This window comes from Homo sapiens, chromosome 14 (genome assembly GCF_000001405.40).
Source record: "Homo sapiens chromosome 14, GRCh38.p14 Primary Assembly".
Taxonomy (NCBI): domain Eukaryota; kingdom Metazoa; phylum Chordata; class Mammalia; order Primates; family Hominidae; genus Homo; species Homo sapiens.
Genome location: NC_000014.9, coordinates 26,441,272 through 26,453,971, shown reverse-complemented (window position 1 = coordinate 26,453,971; position 12,700 = coordinate 26,441,272). Strand labels below are relative to the sequence as shown.

The window sequence follows — 12,700 nt, the reverse complement described above, 5'->3', positions numbered from 1 at the left end:
GTTGCCAGAAGAAGAATGATTGGATACCAACTGAATGACTGAGTAAAATAACAGGTATCCACTGTTGATAGGAATTGCTTTGTAAGTGTAATGTCATATGTGTGTAGTAAATATGGCAGCCCTAAATAAAATAATTCATACTATTAATTGGGAGCTCTCAAATTATAATGGAAGTTGTTTTGCATTTACTTCAATATGTGGTTTTATTAAATAGTTTATGATTTTTCTGCCATGATAATGAAGAAATATGATGCCTATAGGTAGTCTCATTCCTTTATAGCCATAAAACCATCATGAGTTGGAGTTCTTATTTGTTGAAAGAGTAAATATATCTTAATGTCTGTTTTTAATTAGAAACATATCAATATTAAAATCAGTTTATGTGGTATTTTTAAAACTCATAGGATTGTTATAGAAGTTCTTTTGTGATTGCAAATAGAGAAATTGTAAATTTATTACTTTTTTCTGATAACAGTTGATGCTAGCATAATTAGTATAATTATATTGTTAATCTTATCTTTTTTTGGATAAATAACTTGTGAGTCTAGAATAAGGAAGGTTTAAGTAAAGATTCTTTTAATTTAAAAGTAGTAGTATTAAGCTGGGTACAGTGGCTCACACCTATAATCCCAGCTACTCAGGAGGCTGAACCAGGTGGATCGCTTCAGCCCAGGAGTTCGAGGCTGCAGTGAGCTATGATTGTGTCACTGTACTCCAGCCTGGGTGGCAAAGGGAGACCCCCCTCTCTAAAAATAAATAAATACATACATACATACATACATACATACATACATACATACATACATAATTGAAGCAGTTCATCACTGCTAAAATGGGTTTAGATTTGAAACAGGAACTGTCCAACACCGAAACAATAGTGACCAAATTTATGGAAATACTTGGTTGTGAAAAAAGAGTGTAAAGACCATTAGGGAAATATCTTCATCTCTAGAGGATTTTCTTACCTATTCTTTCTTTTTCCAGTTAAACTTTGTGTCTCCTTTATAACCTTATATACTTCTGTGCAGCACCCTTAAGACTCCTGCACTGATACACACTCATTTTCTACAACTATCTATAACCTCTTTAAAGGCAGGAACAATGTCATATATATCCTTTATCTCCAGCTTTCAACACAGGGCTTGGGCCATTCAGTAAGCGTTTATAAATGATTAGGTAGATGCTAGCAAATATAATCATAACTCTGAAGGGCAATCTGATTTGTAACTGTCAAGAACATATCTGACTTAGTTTTATACATGTTATACCAAATAATTGGTATGCCGTTGAAGATCAGTTCTTTTCTCCCGATTCTTTAGAAATAAGAATATGTGTATTTTTCTCAGCCAGAGCATTAGCAGACTTCACCAGTGAAAATGAATCCATGTATACAGTTAGAATTTGCTATTTGTCGTTTCAGTTGGAATTTAAATACTATCAGTATACAGACATTTGCTTTGGTAAATGCCTTTATCTAAGAAGTAAGAGAAAATAATCTATCTTACATAATTCTCTTTGCTTCTCCTCTGTTTTTTCCCACCAGTATTCAGTTGTCCACCATCTCAAAGCTTCCATGTTTTTCTCTCTCACTTTTCCTTAACTCTGGCCCGACACTTAAAATGTAAATATAAAACTACTGTCCTTGTAATGTTATTTAACTGAATTTCAGTTTTTTGTCTCAACTTCTTTTCAGAGAGTCTGTTTCTTCTCTCTGCCCATATTAGATTAATACTGTGTGCAAATAGGTATGGATATATTTTTTAATTATTCAGAGAAAAAAGACAGTGTAAGGCAAAGAGGATTCTCATGTTCTTTTGTCAAAAATAAAAATTGGGTGATAAATGCCTTGTGTAAGCTATTAAGTATTTACTTTTATTAAATTTTGAAACTTTTTATATTTATGTTTCCATTAATTTTCTAAATTTGGTAGTCTTACACAGAATAGCCTATTGTCTAAAGTTAGAAAATGCTATATATTATAATTACTAAGATGCAAACATTAAGTCTGGTCTTAAGTCATAACACATCTTTAGTTTTTTAATCTTGCCAACAAAACTTGGGGCCACATCAATATTTGATTAAACATTGATTGTGGTTGACAGATTTGTTATTTAAGATTCTTTGAAATGGTTAAACACTAAAATTCAGAAGATGAGTATTAACTACATAAAAGCACCTTTAATATAAAGATAGACATTGTCATATAATTCTTCAATTTTCAAAAATATGGATATTTTTGGAAGATGTTTACTGTCATTAAAAGTTAACACTATTTTAAATTATATATTATTTCAAAGTTTTTGAGTATTGGCCGGGCGTGGTTGTAATCCCAGCATTTTGGGTGGCCGAGGCAGGCGGATCACCTGAGGTCAGGAGTTTGAGACCAGCCTGGACAACATATGGTGAAACCCCATCTCTACTAAAAGAATACAAAAATTATCTGGGCATGGTGGCGCATGCCTTGTAGTCCCAGCTACTTGCGAAACTGAGGCAGGAGAATCGCTTGAACCCGGGAGGCGGAGGTTGCAGTGAGTCGAGATTGCACCACTGCGCTCCAGCCTGGGCAACAGAGCAAGACTCCGTCTCTCAAAAATAAATAAATAAATAAATAAAAATAAAATGTTGAGTATTGAAAAGAAGGAAAAATATATTGTTTTTTTATTGTTAAAAAAGACAGGCTAATGTTCAATAATGTAAGTGCAATGCCCACATGTGCAAGTTGTTTTAGATAATAGTTTTAGAGTTAAAAAGAAAAAAACTGTGAAAAAACATATATAATGTGAGACTGATGTGCCATATAGTAGAAATTAATATCTTCACACATTTCATAGAGTGAATGTTATAAAATAATAAAATTTCATTACCTTTTATTAACAGCCTATAATTATCCTTTTCTGTACTTTTCTTGTGGTTATCATGCAGGAAACCATTACACTGAACAAAACAAAAATGATTACTTATAATTTAAAATAACATAAGACTAGCTCTTTTAAAAGTCTTGGCCGATTAATACATTTTTCTTCATTAAAAATATGTTAAAGCACTGCAGTTTGCCAGTCCGTGATGTTTTCAATAGTGTTACAAAAAGGTTATCATTTTGAAAAGAATTGCTTATCCATAAAAATACAATCATATTTAACATTCAGATACTTAAATCCTTAAAAGTGCATTTTCTCAGTATTTCATGTGTATGGGATAAAAATAAAGATGATTGTAATTCATCTTTATAATTGGTATAGTATATAATCATAGTTTAACTTTCTAATTGTAACACATTAACTTTTCAGACAAATAATTTTGTACAAAAAGATGTCTGTGAGCAAAACTAACAAATGTTATAAAAACACTTCTTGGTCTGTTTCTTGAAACTGAATCCACTTAATCAGGGAATATGAAGTTTATGTTTAACATTCCCAAGAAAACTTAGACTATTTCTCAAACTTTCTAAGTTCTTGAAAACTTAGACTATTTTCCATAAAATGAAATGATTGTATTAATAAATTGTAATGAAACAAAATTAAATTTCTTTTATTACTGTAAATTGTGTGCATGGAAATAAAATGAGGTTTGTGTGTGTGTGTGTGTGTGTATTATATGTGTAAATATATTTGTGAGGTGACTTGGTTTAGAATTTGCATTTATACTTTCTCTGCTTGCTACCTTCCAGAACAAAATTGCCTGAAATGCATGGCTGTATTTCTTTAAAATATTCTTATCCACATTTGTGTTTGAAAGATAGCATTAGAGATGCTTGCTAAAAATTAGCTAATGAAATCCCTCATAGAATACCTCAAACAACTAAATGTCCTGCTCAAATTTTAGCACTTTTTTTAGCCTGCCCATTTTAATGTCTGGAACAAGGAAAGCAATTACTTCAGTGCTTTGTCAGTAACACAACAATCACAAGTTTTGACCTACCCAGTGAGACATAAAACATTGTCATATGTGTCATTATGCTTCCATAATATAATTTTAAATGTTACTATTTACATTTTAATTTTAGGGATGATAGAAAATGTCATATTGATTTGATATTTCTTATAATAATTTTTATTGTGATTAAGTCAAAATATGCTGATTTTTGTGGCTGGATGTTTCAATACAAATAAAGATGTCTATGTGTGGTCATATTGGATTGAATATTCATGTCACTGCAGTAATTTTTCAGTATCCTCTGAAAATATGGTAGTACCATTTGGTAAGATGGTAGTAAGCCCTAATTTTAAAAATGTAGCAATGATAGCCAAAAAAGCGAATAATTAGACTAATTATTTTACAAATATAGATAGTGCAGCTAGGTAATATAATTCTTAAATAGGGTTAATCTACCCCAAGCCATTGAAAAATTAAAAATTATTAATTATTTAGAAATAACTATTATGAAGTTATATTTCATATGTGAGTTTAAATGAAAATGCTAATAATTTTACTGACCTTTATCTCTGAAGACAGTCATGAAACAAGTAAGCTATCTTTAATAACAAAAAAATTACTGGGTGATAAGGAACATGAAATTAATGTTTTGAAGGGACTCAGGCTTGAACTTTCCTACTGTTATCTTTATTAACTTTGCTTTTTAATTCTGCATTCTTTGTTTTTTAAATGTTTTAGAACAAAGCATTTTCTTAAAGTTACAATAGGTGAAGAATCATCAACAGCATGTGATTTTTGGAGCTATATAAAAATGTTACCTTTGGTGTATAGTTATGATCCCCTCTTGTTAAGATACTGATTTCTTATAAATTCTGTTGCAAAATTCACAGTGACTCAAGGAAAAATTTTATTTAATAATTTTGACCTGAAAATTGAGTTTTTCCTTTGAAAATTCTAATTTTACAAGATAGTTATATTAAAGTGTGATAAAAGTCACTTTAAAGTTGTGATATTTCTGTTTCATAAATTATGTTTAATTTTCAGTTTATTATTTTACTTTTCTAGGATAGCAAAGTAATATAATGTATATGCACAAAACAGAAGTATTATTTATACGTATTTTTTTTAATTACAGGTAAAGATTATAGTTCCCAACAGCACAGCAGGTCTGATAATAGGGAAGGGAGGTGCTACTGTGAAGGCTGTAATGGAGCAGTCAGGGGCTTGGGTGCAGCTTTCCCAGAAACCTGATGGGATCAACTTGCAAGAGAGGGTTGTCACTGTGAGTGGAGAACCTGAACAAAACCGAAAAGCTGTTGAACTTATCATCCAGAAGATACAAGAGGATCCACAAAGTGGCAGCTGTCTCAATATCAGTTATGCCAATGTGACAGGTCCAGTGGCAAATTCCAATCCAACCGGATCTCCTTATGCAAACACTGCTGAAGTGTTACCAACTGCTGCAGCAGCTGCAGGGCTATTAGGACATGCTAACCTTGCTGGCGTTGCAGCCTTTCCAGCAGTTTTATCTGGCTTCACAGGCAATGACCTGGTGGCCATCACCTCTGCACTTAATACATTAGCCAGCTATGGATATAATCTCAACACTTTAGGTTTAGGTCTCAGTCAAGCAGCAGCAACAGGGGCTTTGGCTGCAGCAGCTGCCAGTGCCAACCCAGCAGCAGCAGCAGCCAATTTATTGGCCACCTATGCCAGTGAAGCCTCAGCCAGTGGCAGCACAGCTGGTGGTACGGCGGGGACATTTGCATTAGGTAGCCTGGCTGCTGCTACTGCTGCAACCAATGGATATTTTGGAGCTGCTTCTCCCCTAGCTGCCAGTGCCATTCTAGGAACAGAAAAGTCCACAGATGGATCCAAGGATGTAGTTGAAATAGCAGTGCCAGAAAACTTAGTTGGTGCAATACTTGGCAAAGGAGGGAAAACATTAGTGGAATACCAGGAGTTGACTGGTGCAAGGATACAGATCTCCAAAAAAGGAGAATTCGTACCTGGCACAAGGAATCGGAAGGTAACCATTACTGGAACACCAGCTGCAACACAGGCTGCTCAATATTTAATTACACAAAGGATCACATATGAGCAAGGAGTTCGGGCTGCCAATCCTCAGAAAGTGGGTTGAGTGCCCCAGTTACACATCAGATTGTTTTAACCCCTCCTTTACCCCATTTTCAAGAAGGATGTACTGTACTTTGCAGAAGTGAAGTTTTTCTGTTATTAATATATAATTATGCAAATGAATGCGACTATGTTGACAATGTGTATATGTAAATAATATGTGTTTTACCAGATGTTTCATAGAAAGAATTTTTTCTTGATCTGTTTTGTTCTCTATACTTTGCTTGTGTATATTTGTCAGAGGTGTTTCTAGTGTAAGATTTAAGCCTGCCATTTTACCAGCATTATTGTAGTTTAATGATTGAATGTAGACAGGGATATGCGTATAGTTTTCAGTATTAGTTCTAGATAACACTAAATTAACTACTGTTAGGTTGAGTATGGTGGGGTCAGTGACCTAAAATGGAGTGAGGCCAAAGCACTGTCCTGTAAGTCTTACTTCCTGCTTAGGGCACAGTGAAGTAGGAAACAATATTTTGAAAATAAGTTTTAAATTTAAAATGATCAAAAAGCAATATAGTTGCATAAAAGCACTGTAAAATATTTAAAAGGTTAAAACTGTGGAAAATTATATTGGTAAGTTTACAGATCAATAAAAGCACCTGTTCTCCATCTGAACTAGACAATGGAAATAATGCTGCATGCTGGCCATGGCCCATTCTTCATCATTTGTAAGTTCAACAAAAGTTCTCACATGGAGTCCCACCTCTTCAGAGGTTTGTACATTTGTTTTTAAGCACTGAATTCACTACTGATCCCATCGCCTGGCCAGTAGAACAGTCATTACTCCATTAACATCCTCACTGTTTAGACACATAACTGTGGTACAGTGTATTGGAAATTTTATAAACAAAAGTGAAAGTGCCAACAAATTATTGATAGCTGATAATGTTTCATTATCTGCAACTGCTTGATAAGTATGTTGCATTTTAAGAGCTTATAATTGTGTATAATTTGTTAACACTAGAAACCTATTAGTATTGTGAATGTAGATTTTACTGTGAAGCTATCTGTGATTTAGCTGTTTGCTCCCATGATGGAGTCTTTGCAGCATGGCGCTAGCAGCCAATGCAGTTTCTAATACTCGGTAATTTGCATGTTTTGTGGAGCATTTTTATGTCACCAACCAGACAGTATTTCCTGCATGCTTATTTAGAAGAGGCAGCTTATCTTGAGAGGTAGTGTTATCTACCTTTGTCAGGCTTTTTGACAGGTCATTTCAGAGTAAGCCTTTGTTCCCAAGACCCAACAACTGTCACCCTCTTCTGTACCTCTCCTGAGTGCCAACTGTCCAGGCCATTTGACACACCATCTGTTAACCTCTGAGTTTGCCCACTCAAGGCCACTCATAGGGGCATCCATCCCCAAGCACCTCCTCATGCTGTGCATGCAGTCTTAAATTCAATGGACAAAAATAAAATGCTGGCTACCTCTGGATCATCTGGCTGAGCAACTGAATTACAAAAGAGAATTACTTCCATCTCAACTTCAACCCATTGATTACGTCCATCCTAGCAAGCTAAATGGCATCCCAGCTGCTCCTTTCTGTGCAACCAATTAAAGAACAATGAGTGTGATGCTCCATGTCTGAATTTCGTCCAGCCTCTCTCTGAACTGTGATCTTTGTCCTCATGAACTTTCCCTTTTGTTCATTGAACTATATGGACTCTTCATTTCATATTGATTTACTGTGCAATTTACTTTTGGACATTGAGAACTTGAAATTATTTCCTGATCCCTTCCCCTTCCACTATTAATAATTCATTTCTGTCAAACTGTAAGAGTAGACTCATTTTTTTTTTTTTAGTTTTTAACATTGGACTGTTATTTCATTTAGAGTTCTCTATCTCTAAATATTTATTTAGAGAATGATTTTAAAAGGGAATGATATGCTTGTTTAAATGAAAGAGAAAAGCTGTAGTAAACTGTGTTAATTGGTAATGACTATTTATCGTCGATACTCTGTAGCTGTGTAAGTTTTGACAAATAGTGTATCTCGTGGAATCAGTGGTTAGCATTGCCGCTATTATATTTACTCATTTTATCATTATAAATGTGCTTAGTTCATCATGTAGCATCACTTGTCTCCCGTCTCATTTTTTCCTTGCATGTCACAAGTCTCAGATCATTTATAATACATTAACAGTAAATAATATCTATGTAAATTTCTTTCACCATGCTGTCTCAGAGTCAGCAGTGAACAAAGGCAAAGATTGGGGCCCCACTTAGTTTGAAAAAGGGAAAGGAAGTGATCTAGGATGTGTACTAGAAGCATTTCAAATGTTGGGTCTTTAAAATGTTTTGTTCAGTCTTAGCAAATCTTCGATCTTTTATTTCAAAATTCCAGTAGTCCACTGTGGAGCCCATGCATTTCATCTGGAATTTAATGTTACTTTGAAGCCAAACCATTTAAACAATTATGTGTGTTTTATTAGCTAGTGTTGCTGAAAATGCACTTAGTTCAATTTTAATTGTAAATGGGAATTTTAAACTTTTCCTAGTTAGCATGGTTATATGTTAGTTAAAACTGAAAGCTAAATTGAAGATATTACATTTTAATTTATGGTGACAGATAAGGGTTTGTATGCATTATGTGTAAATCAGCTTCATGCTGTTTAAAAATTTATTCTCTGAAATTTATAGACCATGTAGAATTGATTTGTGATGTGATGCTTTAATTTATTGCAAGAAAATTAGTATGGCTTCAAACTGCCACAGGTAGGCATGTAACAATGGCTGTTCAGCTGTACTGATCCAAAATGGAGAAAACTGATGATACAAGGGCCAAACATCTTATGAAATGCAACTATTTATAGACTTGTTTTGCTATAGGGAGGCTGGTGAACACGCTGAATACGAATTACCTCAGTTCTGCAGCTTTCTATGTCTTTTTAATGCATTCTGTTTCAGGGTCACTTTCAATCAATATTTCATTTACTTACTGAGATTGAATGGGCGCTCTGAGACACAGTGTGCTGTTTATCATACAGATTGGACACCTCATTCTAGATCCAAGATCTTTTCCTCAACACTGGGAGCTGTCCTTTCAGCACCACAAAATTACTGCTTGAAGTTGCATTGCAGTTTTTTTGTTTTTTTTTTGTTTGTTTGTTTGTTTGTTTTTTTGTTTTTTTCTTTATCACTGGGAGCTTTTCTTTCAGCACCACAACATTGCACCTAGACTTTTTAAACGGCTGCCTTCCTCTTTGCACTGAAGACCAATTTCGTCTGCACTTCCAGTTATTGCTATTACCTGTAGGACTTTCAATCCTACTTCACTTCACCCACCCCACTCCTGAAACAGTTAAATGTATCTATTTCTGTGGAAGTCATTTTCTCATTGAATGATTAGAAACAAAGATAAATTCTAACCTGTAACGGCTCATTTCGACTCATTGCTTACAATAGATCTAAGCTCTTTTTTCTGCTTATTCGACTCCTTCCAGCTTCCCATCACATCTGTAACAAACTTTTAAAATGATATTGCCACACCACCATGCACAAGCCTACCTGCACAGTAGAGATAGATTATTCCATCGCATTCAGATGGTTAACAGAGGTTAGCAAGTCCTGTATTATATATTTATATCGCTTTCTAAGAAAGTGCATATTAATGTTTACTTTAAGAATGTGTAAATGGTGCTATCAAGAATCTGATAAATTTTATCCCCGTTTTTTGTGTACCACTTCTAATGTATGAGATTTATTTTTTTATTGGAAAAAAATAAACAGTATGAAAGCATTAAATTGGTAGATTTTAGTAATTTAACAATGAATGGAATCCCTACGTTACAGGCCCTATGTTTCCTTGGAAATTTTAATGGTGGTAATAGATTTCAACAAAGGTACTGATAATCATATTCCTTTTAATCCATTCTTATATTTCAGTCTTGATTTATATGCTGATTCCTCACTGAGTCCTTAAGTAAAGTTTATTTACTTAATAATTTTATTTACTGTAAGTCTTCTCCAAGAAGGGAATTCTTGCTTTCGAAGGCAGCAATTGAGAGATGAAAATATAATTTAATACCCCTTACATCACAGGCACTATTTGAGACTAGTTACTCTGTTAGTAGGAGAAATATTCATCACTCATTAAATACAGGGCAAGCATGGCTATACACAATAATTTTGAGTGCAATACAGTCATAAATTTAATGTACACACGTTACTTAACTGAGGCAAACAGCCATACAAAATTGCACATGATTAGAAAACAGGATGAACTCATTTTGCCTTCTGCTTGGTTTCTCATAAACATGAATACATAATATTGTTATGCACTGTTGTTCATAGATGTCTTTTTACATAAAGGGTAAGTATCATATTACTTTAACAGATTATATTTGGAAATCTGCATGTTATTTTTTGTTTCATCAGATATGTGCCCCAAATAAATAACTTTTCTTTCAAAAAATGAAAGTATTAGAGAACTTGTCATGTTAATTTTGAAAAATATTGAGGTATAGTACTAGACAGGATGTCATTCCACTGGTCTATATAAACAAAAAAAACTGTTCTTGAAAATTGAAGCATTACCTTGTATAATAAAGTACATCAAATCAGATTTGTAAATAAAATATTGTTTAATTCTAAAGTATTCAATATTTTGATTAGATTATTTTTTTAAGGAAAAATATTTAACGTGTATGTGCCGAATTTTTTTTAAATAGTTTTTTATAATTGCAATGGAAAGGCAATTGTCTCATTACAAAGTGGTACAGAAGCCAATACTTGGGTTACCATAGATATATAAACAAGCAAAAACTGTGGAACACGTTTTAAGCTCATTTTGGAAAATTAAAACAGTTCTGTAGAAATGCATATTTGTATTTGTTTCTCTAATAAATCTGCAAATAGCTTTAAACACAAATTAGTTTTAATTATTTAAATTATGAGTTCTCTTAAGTAATTTAACACCTGTTTTGCCTTACATTTTGTGAAAACATTGTCTCATGGAAATGAATAGAGGCTTATTGTGGAAATCAAGGTAGGTCTGCATTTATTCAAAAAGGTCAGGTATTTAGCATTTAAGTATGTTTACCTCTATGAAATGATTGAAGAATTTTTATGAAAAAACAACACTTCTCCCCCAACCCAAATTTCATGAATTTAGCCACTGCCCAAAACAAAGGACCAGTTTGCATTTGCTTTAACTCGGTACCAAATGAAAGAGCAAATTAAGTGAAATCATGTGTTCAAACAGTTGATAATCAAAAGATTATTTGATGCAGTTAATCAGTTTCTTTACATGTATCCATGAAGGAATATAGACTTTTCTGAACCATGGTGCCTCCTCAGTCTTCTCTAATGTCATTTATGCGTTATGATTAAAGTTGATATCTAAAAATACATATATTTTTCTTGAATTCTGATTTATGCTCATGCATTTGAAACTGTTTTAGGATAACATATAGTCATCTATTTCTGTTGTTAGTGTAGAGTCTCCATTTCATAAAAAATGCTTTGTACACAATACATCAATAGATATACTAGAATAAATACTAATGTGTGTATCTTTTTTAAGTTGTCATTCTGCTAGAGCAGAGATGCTAACCTTTTGGTTAAGGACTCAATTGAGTATTCCAATCCTATTGAACTATGAAGGGCACTCAAATTTTAATGAAGTATTTGTATTTGCCATTTTTTTAAGCTAGTAAAATATTTCAGAGGATCTGGCTTATGAAAACTTTAAGCATTTCCAAGAGTATAGTTTATTGGCTTATCAATTTTACAGCTTTTGATCAATAAAAAATACTGTTCTTGTCAGTATTTTAGATAATGGGTAATTGTATCAAATTTTTCCTTTAACAGAATTTCTATAATTTAAATTTCAAAATTATGACATCAAAATTTCCACACTTTTAATGTTATATCTTTTTCTGTGAATCTTAAGATAGTTCAAGTCCTTAGTAGATTAACATACTATATTAAATTATTGTAGTATACTAAGAAATAATCTTTGATGGACTTGATATATAGCATTTCTATATTTTATGTTGTCTATTTTAGGAGATAAATGTTGAAAAAGGCTCTGATAAGAGGAAGCCTGTAGACCTATAGTGAGACCAATTTATGCTGAAATTGTATTGAAAATAAACCATTACTTTTAAGGTTTCAGCACAGAAAAAAATATATTGTAATTTTTAAAATATTGGCATAATACACATTAACTTATAAATCTTTTTTAATAAAAGAAAAAGTTATATTTTTCAAAGTATCTTAGGAAAAACATTCTTCACTCAATTCTGTACAGAATATATTTTGTGAGGTTCCATTCCCCAGAAGAAAGCATTGGCTAGTAGTTTATCACTTAGGAGATACAACTCAAGATTTTTAACATTTCAATCTTGCATCAAGATTATGGGTGTTTTGTTTTAGGTTTGTGTGTGTGTGTCTTGTTTTGTTTTTTTGTTGGGGGGTGATGATAGAGAATAGAAGCAATTATCAAAACTATTTGCACTCAGGCAACTACCGATTGTATAAAAAATGATTCAGAAGGCCAAATACTCAATTGGCTAGTTTCAATTATTGAATTTTTGCATCACTTTGCCAGTACAGGGAAAACCTCTGAGGTTAAACTTCCTGTGAAGATTGACTGCATGACTCCCAAAACAATGTTACTTCCATATGCACTACAGAGGCTTAATCTGAATCAGAAACTTTGAAAAAATCATTTTTTAATCTTCAA

The 12,700-nt window shown here is 33.0% G+C and overlaps 1 protein-coding gene across 12 annotated transcripts in view; it reads left to right on the top strand.

Annotated features, from left to right (window-relative positions):
* NOVA1 (NOVA alternative splicing regulator 1) overlaps positions 1-10,882 on the top strand; it is a 154,944-nt gene extending 144,062 nt beyond the window's left edge. For all 12 annotated transcript variants that reach the window (NM_001366392.2, NM_006489.3, NM_002515.3 and 9 more), the window contains one exon: positions 5,009-10,882. In NM_001366392.2, coding sequence (NP_001353321.1) covers positions 5,009-6,013 — 1,005 coding nt within the window. In that variant the 3' untranslated portion in view covers positions 6,014-10,882. The remainder of the gene's footprint in view (positions 1-5,008) is intronic.
* Positions 10,883-12,700: the final 1,818 nt, after the last annotated feature.